Raw genomic sequence first — 14,193 nt, forward strand, 5'->3', positions numbered from 1 at the left:
TAATGTGATAATTAAGTCCATAAGGAATTGTGATTAAAAAAAAAGTTTCTGATATGTATGTACACCATAAATATATCAAAGACCAGTGTAAAATAAGGGACATTTGAGGCCATATGCAAAGTAATGTGGGGCGCAAGATAAAACTGCATGTATGCTCAGCATTGACTCAAAACTACCAGGGTGACAGGAAGAAAAGAGGTGAGGCCCATTTCCTGAAAAGAAAGCAAAGGGACTACTGAACCCTCAATGTCATTCCCTAAATTCCCAATAGCTAAAGTCTAAGAAGTTACATCAGGGACAGATCCTCTGGCTATTACCCATACTGACCAAAACAAGTGTGCAGTATAAAAGGGAATGATAATTTACAACTTTCTTGACGCAAAGTAATAGGTTTGGGAGATGGGAAGTGGTCCAAGAGGAAAACCACCATTGCTCAGTCTTGATTCTTTAGCTTACATTGCTTTAGGAATAAAGGCCAAGCTTCAAGCAGAGGGTGCTGAGAATTCAACAAATGTAGCTGAATGACAATGGTCGCTCTCTGCTAAGCAGGCTGAGGCAGATGTATATTTCAAGGTAATTGTCCTGATTCATTCAACTCAAGCTAGAAAATGGCTGTGCCTTAGTCTAAAGCCAGACAACTGGTTCACTGGTGGTTTTACAAAATTTTGACTTTTGTCCACCTTTAAATCTATATTTTGGGTTAAGCTTTTAAGTTGTTTGTCTTTGGGTAAGATAGTAAACCCCACCAATCAATTAAATCTCCATTTAGGACCATGGATTTCCTTGCCTGGGCATGGAGAGGTCAGTGACTCCATTCTTCAGACAATGAGACTTCATTGCCTCTAAACTCTTCTGTAAGTTTTCATAAGTTGGCTTGTGCGAAGCCCTTTTCTTTGTAATCTGAACACAAAGGATTCAAACTTTCATCATCCCAAAATGATAGCCAAAGAAAAGTCATCACATTCCCCCAACATCCCAATAATTAAAAGAGTAAGCACATTTTTATAGAATTAGTCTAGAGCAAGGATGACAAATGTCATATTGCCCTTTCCACACTGTTATGGGAGACCTTCAAGAAAATCCACTAAATAGAGGCTGAGAAACCCAGACTCTGCCACGTAGCAATCTTTCCTTTTCCTAGGAAACCCATGAGATTAGCAGATGATGCCTATTGTCAATATTTTTAAGCAAGGTAGGTGAAGTCTCTGTGCCACTTCCAAGAGATAAGCTGCATATCTCTAACAGGGAAGAAAGCATACCACCTGAAAATTCCCTGCTAAAAGCCTCTACTTATTTAGAAACTGTGCTTGCTTGCTTTTTGTCTCTCTACATAAAACAACAGAAAAAACTGGTAGGGTCCCAAAGTAAAACCACTGGAAGCCACATAAGCTTTAAGGACAGAATTCAAAGGGGCTAGGACATCTCCCCACTCAGTTTGTCATCCAGATCAGGCTTGTAGTGGGTTAGCTGTAAGCTACCCACCACCACCACTAAGGAAGCCACACCCTTTCAGGGACCAAATGCCATCCTGGACTGTTGAAGAACCCCACATTCAGGCAGTAGTTAGGAGAGGAGCTAAGTATTATTTGGGACTGCACTTATTATTTTTTGTTTTTATTCACCCCCTTGCTATCAGTGTGCTATTTGACATGGAATAAGAGAAAAGCTCCTTTGGGAAATCTGTCTCTTGAGACATTATTGTTTTTATCTCACTCTGCCTAGGAAATATAGTATGGCAGGCATTCCTAACTTTTGCAAGTCTTAGAACAGGCCTATGGTACATGATACACGACTTTCCCACAGAGCTGGGATGCAGCCTCACATTTCTTTCTAACCCAGTGCTCCAAGTAGCCGCCATCACTGGACTGGAGTTGTCATAAGATAGGAAGCTTTTTGACATTCTTAGTTGTCTAGAATAGAACATCATGATCAACACAAATGCAGTGCAGCCCATCTGTTCACAAATCCTTAAAATGTATTAAGAACTGGCCCTGAAAAAAAAAGGAATTGGCCCCATCTTACCAAGTAATATATATATCGCCCATCTCTCTTCAGAACAGCCACTTCTCCAGATTTCTTTTCTAAGAAAAAGTTATTTAATAGTAGAAATGAAAAAGAAAACCAAACACTGATCTCTAAAGATTTTAAAATGTTTACAGATCTGAGTTTACCTCAGAACTAGAATTTTCAACACTGAAGAAGGGAATAGGGAAGACCTATTGTCTCCCACAAACACTTTGCTTTTTATCAGCATTCCCAAATACTATATTCCTTAACTTAACAGCTTTCTTACAGTCATGTTTCCTCACAACCCATCTTTTGTACCACTACTACTTTTAAATATATCCTCATTTGTCCACAAACTTTCTCTATTGCCTTGAAATTGTTTTATAGTGTGTAGTTTTTTACTTGCCAAATGTGTATTTACTCAATAATTATCTTTTTACATACAAAGAGCTGTATAAGGCATTATGAGGAATACAGATATATAAAAAAGGAATTAATTATTACAGAGTTTTCAATCCAGAGAAGATATCATCATTCCAAATAACTATAATACAAAGCAGTAAGAATTGCTTTTGTCTAAGGCTAAGAATCACTGTGGACACTGATGCTGTTAAGCCTGGAATGTGGTCGGAGAAACTGTTGCAGAAGCTTTACATAGGATTCTAGTGCACATTTCTGGTTTAAAGTGGCCCGTAGAAAGTGATGGGAGGGGTCTGTAAGGAAGAAGAGGTTTCTAAATTCCTCTTTGAAGAGAAAGCAGAATATTGGTAAGTAAAGGATCTTGAATGCCAACCTATAGACTAAGCATCTCAGAGTTATTTCAAGTTTCAGAGAAGTACAGTAATATCGTCAAGAAAGTTTCATGATACAAGAGGAAGAGATTAAAAACCTTCACAGGAGTTGGGTTTTGATATGGTAAACGTCTAAACTAGAGGCCATTCTTGGGGAGGAAAATCTTAAAAACATTTGGTTCTTAGGAATCCCCTCTTTACACGCATATTTTATTAAAGTGTAACAGATTAAAAGGTGCTCTAGCCAGGGCAAACCAGGTAAGTGGTTTCCAAAACTCACGTTGATTTAAAAGTTCTTGCACCCCTCCAAATTTCTTCTTAAAGAGGACAGCTATCCCAGCGCCCATGCGACAATCCTCACTGATACAGTGGGCTAAAGAGTCTGTTTTCGGGCATGCAAAAAGGTCTCCTTTCACATAAGTGATCTAAAAAATGTGCAAAGGAAAAGACAATGTTTTATTAGATACAGTAAAATACTAAGCTATTTTTCTGTATTTTGTGTCCCCCACGACTACCTCTCCCGGCACCCCTTCCTCCAATCTGATTTAAAGCCAAACCAATTACAGCATGTGTAAAAGGAAAGTAATGGATGATCCCTGCCTAGAATTTTGAGCCTTTTTAAAGTAAATCAGCTAGAGAGAAAAAAAGATAATGCAATCATTAATTTAATTAAAAAGTGTTTATGCTTTTGACCTCCATTATTACGAATTTCAGTTCACCAATAAGTCAATAGTTGTTACGCACTCTGCTTCCTTCTGGATCTTCATTAAGGCTGCTGGCCATGATACTGAGTCGCTATTTCCAGAATTTAAGTGTTTCTTCAGCTATGAGAAGGGAAAAGGAAGTAAAAATGCTTAGGCAGCCTTAGTATATAATATTCTGATTGCCCTGTACAACCACTTAATAGGCTTTTTTCCCCAACGTTTATCGATGAATGTGAGTTTGTTCGGCCCCTGGGACGTAATACAAAACCCTTCTGGGGCAAAGAGGAAGAACGCTTAGGTTCGGAGGCTGTCTCGACCCGCTCTCATTTCGTGCTTTCCTGGAGCGCCCCGCTCCGTCAGCGGAAGCAAAGCCCATCCCTAAGACACGCCTCCTCCTTTCTCCAGGGCCACTCCGGAGCAAGGCCGATTTAGGACGGTCTCCTTTTCTCTGCACGACGCAAAAGTATTTCCCCAGTGGGTCTGGCTTAGAAGAAAACAGAAGGGACTTGGCCACAGTCCCGTTAAGCCGCAACCACAGAGTGTACAGGGTACTGGCGTGCTGAGCCCCAGGCGTGGGGAAAGGAAGGCGGCCTCTCAAGGAACGTTCACCCCCCACTTTTTTGGGGGGTGCGTGGGAGAAGGAAAGAGTCTATTGAAGCCTCCCATTCTCTGTCTCCTACCCTAGGGCGGGTCAGCGAGGACGCAGTCTGTCCTGGGGTCCTATGGGAGGGTGCGGGGAGGCTCGCTCAAAGCCCCAACGTACCCAAGTCACCCTTCACCTGGAAAGGAGTCGGTTGTTTGGAGGTCCCCGCCCCGCGGGGAAGGGCTCCGGATCCGACCCTGGTAGGTGGGGAGCAGCGGACCAGCCCAAACGCGGAGCCAATCCCGCCAAAGCCCTTAATTGCACGCATCTAAGATGGCCGCCCCCGCCCGGTAGCGGGGCGGAAACGAGCCCCTCTAGCTTGCTAGCCGAGCCCACACTCTTTGGCGAAGGCCGCCGAACTTCCGGCAGTAAATTCCGTGGTTTCCCGCCGCCGCCCGCGCATGCGTAACGAAACTGCCCCACGAGTCGGGAAAAGTGGCGCTTGCGCATTAGCCGCAGGGGTGTGTCCTAGTGGCCACTTGGAAAGGGGTGGGCAGCTGGCAAAGGGGCTAGTTAGCGCCTGCGTAGTACTAAGCTCAAGGCAGCGTTTTGAGTTGAAGGGTCTGGCGCGTCTGGAAAGCGCCTGCGTATTCCTTTCACTGGGGGTGGTGTCAAAGCGGGAAGGTGGGCGTGGCTTCAGGGAACGCCTGCGCGTTGCTCCTCCGAAGGGGTGGGGCGATCCCTGAACTGGAGTTAGTGGGCGTGGCCTCAGAGGCGCCTGCGCGGAGGCGGTTGGAGGGAGGCCCGATTCCCCTTTGTTCGGGTTCGCCATTTTGCTAGGCAGCGGCAGTGGCGGCGGCAGCGGCGGCTGGAGCCTCTGATTGGGTTTCGGAGTCCGGTACTGGAGCCAATCAGCGCGGGCAGCGAACCGGGGGAGCGAGGCACGGTGAGTGTGAGGAGCCAATATCCAGCGGCCCAGAGCCGGCCCCAGCGCCCCGATTGGCGGGTCTCGCTGACCACTCAGGAGAGGCCCAGGCGCCCGTCGAGCCCGGGGAGTCGAGCTGAGCCTAGCCGAGCCGGGCGGCCAGCGGCCCCGGCCCGGGGCCTGCGAGCGCCTCGGGGCACTCCCGGCCGAGGCCTGCAGGGGCCGCCCCGCGCGGGGATGGCGCCTCGGGGAGCAGGCACCTCGGGGCTCCGACCCTCGCAGGGTGCCAGGGCCAGTTGGGAATGCGTCCCTGTTCCCCGACTCAGGCCCAGGTTCTCAGGCCCCAGGCCTGGGGCCACGAATGGCCCTACACTAGGGGACACATGCGCGCCCTGGGCCTCGGCGATTTCCTCCTGGTCGTTCTGGCCGCAAACTTAAACCTGCCCTTGCACTCTCCACTCTCCGGCCCTTGGGACAGGAAGCCTCCCCGGGGCCCGCGCCCCCCGCTCCCCGCTCCCAGCGAGCCGGGTCTGTCTTATCTGCAGCCCCTCTAGGTCGGGAGGGAGGCCTGGGGAGGGTGCGCGCCGCGGCCGCGGGGTCCCGTGTGCGGCTGGCAACGGGGCTGGCCCGCCCACGCCTCGGAGCCCTATGGGCCCGCCCCCGCTGTCTCCCTGGTGGGGAGAGGGGGCCGTTAGTTCGCCCACTCCCCCTGCTCCGCCGCGCCCCTCCTCCCAGCCCGCTCCGCCCGGGTCTCCGGCCCGGCGCCGTTACCACCCCTTTTGGCTCGTCATTTCCTCTCTTCCCCGCCCCGTTCGCAGTGGCAGGACCGCACACCTCCGTCTTGGAGCCCAACCAAGCGGTCTCCGTTTCTTGTCCGGGCTGTAAGACCAGTCCATTCGGTGCCTGGAACCTCACTCTTAGAAGATTGATACCCTTGCGCATTCTTTCCGGAGGCTGCACAACTTGCTGTTCATATTACTAATCTTATCCACTGCTCATTTTGTGAAATCTCCCTCCCTTGGGAATATAGTACAGTTTTGGGGGTTTTTTTTCCCTTTGTTTTTGCCTTCGCCTTTCTATGTTACTTTGTGTCAGGCTTGACCCAGTCCACTCATCTCTTGGTTTATGTTTTTCTGATACACTTTCAAGTCCTGTGTTAACGTTTTCTCAGCAGATGTTTAGAAACTAACAGTGTTGTGGGGTTTTCCTTAGGGTGAGAGGTTGCTGTTGGCAACCAATTATCCAGCAGTTAGTATATGCCAGGTATAATCCGTGTGTTAGGGAGGGAGTACGTAGAGGTCAATAAGAACTGTGCCTACCTGATGGAAATTGACAGGTGAACAGGTAGTTAATACCTAACGGTTAGTGCTATAAAGGGGCCAAGTTCAGTTGCTGTGAAGTATCCATGCGTGAGCTAGCCTCCGTGAAAGGCTTATCACCACCGCACTTTTGACTGGCCTTGAAGAATGATGGTAATTCTTCCACAGGAAAGATGGAAGAGCTTGCTCGAAGAGAAGAAAAGCATGTGCAGAGGAATCAAATTACACTGTTGGAGGCAGGAAGATGGGATAGGGAAGTGGGCAGTAGTTGTGATAGTTTAGGGGGGAAAGCCCAGTTGGTAAAATACTTGTATATCTTGCTAAGGAATATTTTGGAAACAGTTATTATTTTGTATGGAGGTTCAAGTAGAAGGGATCTAGAGCTATATTTTTTCCTAAGATTGAAAAAACGAGTTTCTGACTTGTTTATGGGTTCTGCCCCGTGATAGTGGCTGAGTTCTTTGGGGATGAAGAGGAGACTTGTCCTAGGACTCTGAAAATTATTTTTACTCATGTGAATCATCTAGTGCATTCCCTGGCACATAAAGGTCTTAAGTATCTGGTGCCCATTTCTAAATTCACATTTAATGTTATACAACTAATAGGTTTCAGAAAACTCGTATTCCAGTGCTCTTTCATTACTAAAACTTCGGGGACAGGTTTTATTTTCACTTTTTAGGGTGAGTTTTTCATTGTTGCTTAAGTGATTTTCTTAATTCATTTGATTGTCACGTTATCCGCATTAGCAGATGAGATGATAGAGCTTAAGTAGTCTAAAAAACATGTATATTTGCCTTTGGAACGTTTTTTTGTTTGTTTTTGGATACAGGGCTTTCCTCTGTCATCCAGGCTGGAGTACAGTGGCGCAATCGTAGCTCACTAACCTGGAACTCCTGGGCTCAAGCCATCCTCCCTTCTTGTTCTCCCAAAACGTTGGGATTACAGGCATGAGCCACTGCGTCCTGACCTGAAATAGATGTTTTAACCTTAGTATTTAAAAATAGGTATGTTCTGGTCACTTCAAAATCACTAAATACTTTTGCTTGGCATCTTTCTAAAAGGCATTATAATCTGGTAACTTTTTTGCTAAATACCTTACAAGCTTCCACCAGTCTGCAGAAGAATTTCTTTGTCTGACATTTTGAGAGAAAGTAGTGTGGCCCCAAGCTTTTTTTCCTGTTTAGTCCACTGTTCACATGCTGAAATATTTCTGTTCTTGTTTTTATGCTCTCTTGATTTGTAGTACTTCACCTTCCTCCACATCATCACATAGCTAAATCTTTCTCACACTTAAGACCAGTTCATCCTGCAGGCCTCTGATAGCAAAGAAAAAAAAAGTTCAAGTAGTACCTTTTTTTTTTTAAGCCTTGTTGATTTATCCCCAGCTGGAACAAATCTCTGTCCTCCAAATTCCCATATCACTTTATCTCTTAGGATTCCAGTATAGGTTTTTAGTCCATTACTAAACTTAAAGACTCTTTGAAGTTTGAATCTTCGTCAGAGATTTCTTTTTATTTTTAAAACCTTCAGAACAGTGTCTGGCACATGGTACATAATTAGTGGAGAGAAGTGCATTAGAAAGCTCCAATCCAGAAATCTGTAGGATGATGGGGAAGCTGGACAGCCCTTTGTTGTAGTCTAGTCTTTCATCAAGCGTCTATCAGGACCCACTTGTTGAGTTGTGAAAGAAATTGAGTGAGCCAATGCTGGGAATTTTTAAATAATAGAATAGAAAATATCTGCCAGGCATGATGATGGCTCACGACTGTAATCCCAGCACTTTGGGAAGCCGAAGTGGGAGAATCCTTTGAGCTCAGGAGTTTGAGACCAGCCTGGGTAGCATAGGGAGACCCCCTCTCTTAAAAGAAAAAAAAGAATAGAAAATACCAAAGTGCATCTTGTGTTGTATAAAGGTAAATGCTGTTTCATGAAACTTTCATTTCAGTTACATGCTTTATACATGTGTGCACTGAGTTGTGATAATGAAATGTGTTTCTTACTAAGGGTTGTGGTCAAAAAAGTTAAAAAGCTACTGTTCTAGGCTTTGCCTGGTAGTGATTATCAACTGTGATAATCCTATGGCTTTTCATATGCTTACACTAGTTGAGTTTCTGAAGAGGTTTTAGCTTTGGAGTTTGTGTAGGTCCACATAGAATGGGTTCCTAGTAAGTGGTTGGCTAAGTCTCAGCTTTTGCACCTTGGAATAGTGGGGCAAAGAGAATTGCACTGAGAAGAGAATGCACTAGGAAGAGAATTTTCATGCTAGCCAGAATAAACACTTATTATTTGTTTCTCTCTCTTTGAGGAAAAACCATTCAAAACTTTGTGTTAAGAGCAAGAGCTAGACAGACTAAATCTGGCTTAGTTTGTCATAATCTTGGGCAAAGAGGCACTTTGGGAAAGACTATCGAATTGTATTGCAGTCTTGCTAACTGAAGCTCACAGTAGTAGGAACATATGACTTTACTGAAGCCAGTTGCTTATAGCATTAACCATTAACAGTATCAATATCATGATACAGGCTAAATCACTCTGTCATTAATGTGAGAGAGAATTGCTGCTAGATTTGAAGCTGCTCTTCAAATCTTGATACTCTTCAAAGTATAAATTTAAATATTGCTAAATTGGTTCATTTGTATTACCAGAATAAACTAGTTAAGAAGAAAATCTGTACGTTACATATATTAGTCATTATGTGCTTCAAGTTATATTTAGTCTTGTAAAGATGTAAACTTCTGGATATTAGTCAAGGAAAAAATCTCATATAAGAAGGAAATTTGGAGTTGGGGAGGCGTTGAAACCTAAAAGACATTCCTTTCATGATCCTTATTTTTTAAAATCAATTTATTGAGAGATACTTTAGAAACAAAGTATAATAATTTTAAATGTGTATTTTGATGAGTTTTGACAAATTTGTACACCTGTGCAACTGCTACCACAATGAAGATATAAAACATTTTCATCACCCTACAATGTTCCTAAGGCTCCATGCCAGTCAACCTCCCTCTTTCCTGTCTCCCTGTATTCTCCACTCCCAAGGAACCACTGATCCATTTTCTGTCTCTAGATTACTGATGTCTTTTGGAGATTTTATATAAATGGAATCATATATATTCGTTTACATCATAACCTTAATTTTATTAGTTTATAGCCATAAATGTATTGTGTATTAGAGACAAGATAGAATTTAGGGAAGCCTGTTAGTGCCCCTAACAGACTCACAGTCTGGCTGAAAACCTGATTTTCTATTCTATACCCAGAATCTCTGAGGAGCAGACTTAGTCAACCAATTCCAAAGAGACTGGTGTAAAAATCAGAAAACCGGTTTGTCATGTTGCTGATTATATTTGCTCCCTGTTGGCCAATCTATATGTAAATCCAAATTATAGCTAGAAATTTACCTAGCGAGCATTCCATTAGATCAAGGGCAGTGCTTTGGAGAACCATATGGCCACAAGTCCTCTTGCTGTGATGACATAGCCTGTTATTTATGGCTCATAGATTCTTATGTTGTATCCATTTTGGTTATGAGTAATGGGGTTGATTAATTTTTATTTTGATTAAATTTTGTTATATTTTTCCTAACATTCCAACATTCATTTGGGAAATAAGAATTTCTCAAAATTCTTATTCTAGAAATAAGAATTTTCAAGTGTGCAGTGAAATCAAAGGAATTTGAAAATAAACACCTGTATACCTGCCAGTTAGGGTCTATTAACATCTTACTATAATTGCCTTACCAGATATTTCTCCACCCATTCATCCATTTTTTGATGCATTTCAAAGTAAATTTTAGATATCAATACACTTCTTTCTAAGTACTTGGACATATAGTTGCACATATTTTGGTTTCTTCTTTCACACTGTATTGAGACACCTTGCAAATGATTAATTCCACCAGCATGTGTGGATTTATGGAGAGTGGTACTGTACTTTGCCACGATAATGAGCAGCTCAGTTAGGTCACGTCATTTTATTATTCAGATGTTGGAATTTATGAGGGCCTAGTGAAAAATCAGAGAGAAAGACCTATCTACATTTTTGTTTATATATCTGTCCTCCCTCCCATATTTCCAAGATGAATTGCCGATTGCTAACTTATATCATTTTAATTTTTTAATGAAGTCTTTATTAAAGGTTCTCAGATATCATTCAGTTTATCTAATTGTATCCTTATTTTTAAAAGTGGATCTTCAACTCTTAAAGTCTATGAGAAGGGTAAATTTTGCCTACCATATGTAGTGGACCTGAGTAACATGTTTGGTGGGAAGCAATTACGTGTTACAACTTAAAGAAGCTTTATTCTCTAAAGTATATGTGCAAACCTGAAAATCAGTGTTAGGTATGCCTTGTATCAAAGTGATGTAGCTTAACGAGTATCTCTTAGGTGCAAGTATTGCTCTGACAGTATTGAAAGGTAAGGTTGCCAGTATACTGAAAGCATTTTAGAAACGTGAAAATAGCATTATGTTGTTATGATTGTGCCATGTAATCCCAGTTAAAAATGATACTGAATATAAGCATTTCCTATTCTCCTATCCTGTTTTCTTGCAAATAAAGTACAGTGATAAATTATCCAGGTTAATTGTCTGGTAAGGCCTTTATTGACAATCTCACTTTAGTTTCTTTCCCCACCTTTCTAACAGGAGTGTACCTCACAGCCTTCTAGGATCTCCAGAGTGGACAGGAATCTCACTTGGAGGGACCATGGAGCAGTATACAGCAAACAGCAATAGTTCGACAGAGCAGATTGTTGTCCAGGCAGGACAGATTCAGCAGCAGGTATGGAAGCAAAACTGCTTTAAACATTACAGCAATGAAACTGATAACAGCACCACTCAATTGGTTGGTCTATTGCCCTGGGGAATTATTTGAAAGATACCAGATCTTGTGAGATATTGGGTCTGATGGCTTGTGCTGAAATGCCATGTCTAGCCCATGACCACTTAGAATCTACTCTTCATGGGTGCCTGGTTATAGTAAATTGCCTCTTTTATCTCATTTTAAGTAAAAACATCTAGTCTGGTTTTCAGATGGAAATTTGGACTTTAAAATTTTTCTGGATTCTATTTGGTCTTTTTCTCTTCTTGTTTGAGCTAACTTGTGATTTAGTAAGTCTTTGGCCACAACAGACAAACCAACATAGCTTCCAATAAATCTTCTGTTTTTTGATTTGGTCTGCCACATTTTTTATTCAGAAAAGCTCTGGTTTAACATTAGGATAATATTTAGACAGCCATTCTTATGGATAAGACATACTAGAAAGGAATTCCCTGCTGCTGGTTTATTCCTAATTAATAGATTGCTTTCTTGAATTTATACACAGGTTACATTTTCTGATGCTTTATGCTTGGGTTTATTATAGTAAAATTTCACTTTTTTCCCCACCCCAGAAGAAAAAAATGTATTATGTTTCTATTTGACCTTAGGCCAAGATTGATATTTTGGAAATACTTTGTTTTCAAAATGGAATTTAGCTAATATAGAAAAGTAGTAGGGAAGGGAAAGGTAGTATTGATGATGAGTTTTTCCCGTCTAATGATCAAAGACGAACTCCCCTGATAGCTTTCCCTTCCATACAGCTGCTGTGGCTCTGGCAGTTTCCTTCAACTGCCTTTTTAGAGGAAGGGATTCCACAAAGGGCCCTCCATTCACACCAGTGCCCTGGAGGGTGGGTTTTTATTCTTTCAGAATTTGCCATTAGTGGATGTAAAAATAAGGTTGAATCATTGAAAACATGGCTCTTAAAGCAGTCCAGTTGGGTAGAAATAATCTTAGTTTTGAAGCTGGGCATGGTGCTGCATGCCTGTAATCCCAGCTACTCTGGAGGCTGAGACAGGAAGGTTGGCTTAAGCCCAGGAATTCAAGACCAGCCTGGGCAAAACAGCAAGACCCCATCTCAAAATAAGTACATAAATAAAGTTTAAAAAAAAAAGAATCTTAGTTTTGGGACATGAGAGCATTGACGTCATGAAGATGATTTCGGTTCATAGTGATTAATTACTCCTCCTTTCTTGGTGATTGCATTTAAGCCCAGAATTTTTTATGGTAGTTTCAGGGCTATTAAAACCTAATCATTTTTTTCTTGTGAACTCATCTGAGGAGATAAAAAGGGCATTAAACAATTGTGTAAGTAGAAGTGTCAGATTCCTGTTTCTGGAGGGAAAGATTGCATTACAAATCTTTGTGTTAATGATGACAACTGTTTTGAGTTTTTGAGTCAAATTTTTGAGGTCCACTCTGGAGACAAAGGGCTAATATCTTTAATCCTACTACCTTCAACAAAACAGCTTCAATATAGGGAGTCTGTACATTTTGAAAGTCCTTCAGGCTTCCGTCTCTCTCCTCCAAGAGGTAAGGTGATCTGTGTCTTGAACTACACATTTCCTTCCTGACATATTTCAAGCTCTTCCTGTTCCTGTTCTCAGCAGCAGGGTGGTGTCACTGCTGTGCAGTTGCAGACTGAGGCCCAGGTGGCATCCGCCTCAGGCCAGCAAGTCCAGACCCTCCAGGTAGTGGTACCCTCTCTGATTCTCTGTGAGCACTGCATGAACTTCTCCTCTCCTCATGTCTGGTGCTGTTTGTGTTAGGATCTCCAGTAGGAATGGCAAAGTCAGTTGCATGTCTTTGATGCTGCTAACTTGTCTTTGAGGCTTATAAGATGCCAGTTTCCTAATATTTCATGCCAAGTCATATAGAGACCCCGTATCAACTTTCTGAGAATTGGATTTGACTAGCATGTTTCTTTGAGAATGCCTGGAAAAGAAATGGTATAAGTGACAGGAAGAAATTCTTATAAGTGACATTAGAATTTATTCAGGGCTCGGCCGGGCGCGGTGGCTCACGCCTGTAATCCCAGCACTTTGGGAGGCCGAGGCAGGCGGATCACGAGGTCAGGAGATCGAGACCATCCTGGCAAACATGGTGAAACCCTGTCTCTACTAAAAATACAAAAAAATTAGCCGGGCATGGTGGCGGGCACCTGTAGTCCCAGCTACTTGGGAGGCTGGAGCAGGAGAATGGCGTGAACCCAGGAGGCAGAGCTTGCAGTGAGCAGAGATTGCGCCACTGCACTCCAGCCTGGGTGACAGAGCGAGACTCCGTCTCAAAAAAAAAAAAAAGAATTTATTCAGGGCTCACACTCTGATCCAATTAATTGCATGGTAAAAATTTTGTGTATTTGTGTTACAATGGAGAAGGAAATATATACATATACAGACACACATAAACTAGGCTAGGCTGTGCTTTATTTTTATTCAAGGGGCAACTCAACTGAAAAATAATCATTGCACTTGGCAAGGTTTATCTAAGCACTGAATCTTGTTAATCTCTTGTTAACTGCTATTGTTTCCACTACCTTTCCTGGGGGAATAGTGACCTGTCTTATTACTAGATCTGCAAAGATTACCCCAGATACCTCTTGGTTAGGCAGAAGCAGGATGTGCTTTCTGTAAGTCTTAGGTGTTAAAGCCACTGTGATAATTCTTGGTTAATCAATACAGTTCTTTAGCATCGTGTATGGCTAAGTATCCTAAATTGGGTTCTAATTTGGCCAGTTCCTATAAAACACAGGAGTAGCAGCACTAGTCTACTCTGTGTATGTAGGTTACTTTTATTAAAATAACTCTATTTTTGAGAAATTGGCAAGATTTGGGTACCCTACTTTTTCCCTCCATTGAATTAGAAATGATTCAAAGTAGAATCTAGAATGTAGAACTGGCATCTCACTTTATTGCTAGTGCTGCTAAGCATCCAGCAGATAACTACCTCTTATTGTCATCACTTTATCCTTTCAATCCCACCCCTACCCCTGCCACCAATAGTGTTTGGTAATGATGTACAGCCAACTTTGAACATAAATTAA

At 42.6% G+C, this 14,193-nt stretch overlaps 2 protein-coding genes across 16 annotated transcripts in view, besides 4 other annotated features; one reads left to right on the forward strand and one right to left on the reverse strand.

Annotated features, from left to right (window-relative positions):
• OARD1 (O-acyl-ADP-ribose deacylase 1) overlaps positions 1 to 14,193 on the reverse strand; it is a 33,016-nt gene that overhangs the window by 3,282 nt on the left and 15,541 nt on the right. Inside the window, exons 2-7 of one of the 14 annotated variants that reach the window (NM_001329684.2) lie at positions 7,424 to 7,645; positions 7,214 to 7,296; positions 3,543 to 3,622; positions 3,079 to 3,223; positions 2,023 to 2,081; positions 788 to 900 (exon numbers count right to left, since the gene is read on the reverse strand). In NM_001329684.2, the coding sequence (NP_001316613.1) occupies positions 788 to 900; positions 2,023 to 2,081; positions 3,079 to 3,223; positions 3,543 to 3,581 (356 nt within the window). In that variant the 5' untranslated portion in view covers positions 3,582 to 3,622; positions 7,214 to 7,296; positions 7,424 to 7,645. Of the gene's footprint in view, positions 1 to 787; positions 901 to 2,022; positions 2,082 to 3,078; positions 3,224 to 3,447; positions 3,788 to 4,182; positions 4,562 to 7,213; positions 7,297 to 7,423; positions 7,646 to 14,193 lie in introns of those variants that run through there. The other 13 variants (NM_145063.4, NM_001329686.2, NM_001329685.1 and 10 more) reach the window with 13 other exon arrangements.
• Positions 4,322 to 4,531: an enhancer, noted in NCBI's record as "active region_24500". NCBI's record gives its function as "activates an Ori minimal core promoter by ATAC-STARR-seq in GM12878 lymphoblastoid cells {active_cell/tissue: GM12878}" and the evidence as "EXISTENCE:reporter gene assay evidence [ECO:0000049][PMID:35858748]".
• Positions 4,562 to 4,611: an enhancer, noted in NCBI's record as "active region_24501". NCBI's record gives its function as "activates an Ori minimal core promoter by ATAC-STARR-seq in GM12878 lymphoblastoid cells {active_cell/tissue: GM12878}" and the evidence as "EXISTENCE:reporter gene assay evidence [ECO:0000049][PMID:35858748]".
• The window catches only part of NFYA (nuclear transcription factor Y subunit alpha), a 29,430-nt gene continuing 20,157 nt past the window's right edge, over positions 4,921 to 14,193 (forward strand). The window contains exons 1-3 of one of the 2 annotated variants that reach the window (NM_002505.5): positions 4,921 to 5,031; positions 10,976 to 11,111; positions 12,758 to 12,844. In NM_002505.5, the coding sequence (NP_002496.1) occupies positions 11,037 to 11,111; positions 12,758 to 12,844 (162 nt within the window). In that variant the 5' untranslated portion in view covers positions 4,921 to 5,031; positions 10,976 to 11,036. The remainder of the gene's footprint in view (positions 5,032 to 10,975; positions 11,112 to 12,757; positions 12,845 to 14,193) is intronic. The other variant, NM_021705.4, reaches the window with a different exon arrangement.
• Positions 4,992 to 5,621: a silencer, noted in NCBI's record as "silent region_17172". NCBI's record gives its function as "represses an Ori minimal core promoter by ATAC-STARR-seq in GM12878 lymphoblastoid cells {active_cell/tissue: GM12878}" and the evidence as "EXISTENCE:reporter gene assay evidence [ECO:0000049][PMID:35858748]".
• Positions 5,652 to 5,811: a silencer, noted in NCBI's record as "silent region_17173". NCBI's record gives its function as "represses an Ori minimal core promoter by ATAC-STARR-seq in GM12878 lymphoblastoid cells {active_cell/tissue: GM12878}" and the evidence as "EXISTENCE:reporter gene assay evidence [ECO:0000049][PMID:35858748]".

The sequence above is a fragment of the Homo sapiens genome, chromosome 6, assembly GCF_000001405.40.
Source record: "Homo sapiens chromosome 6, GRCh38.p14 Primary Assembly".
NCBI classification, from domain to species: domain Eukaryota; kingdom Metazoa; phylum Chordata; class Mammalia; order Primates; family Hominidae; genus Homo; species Homo sapiens.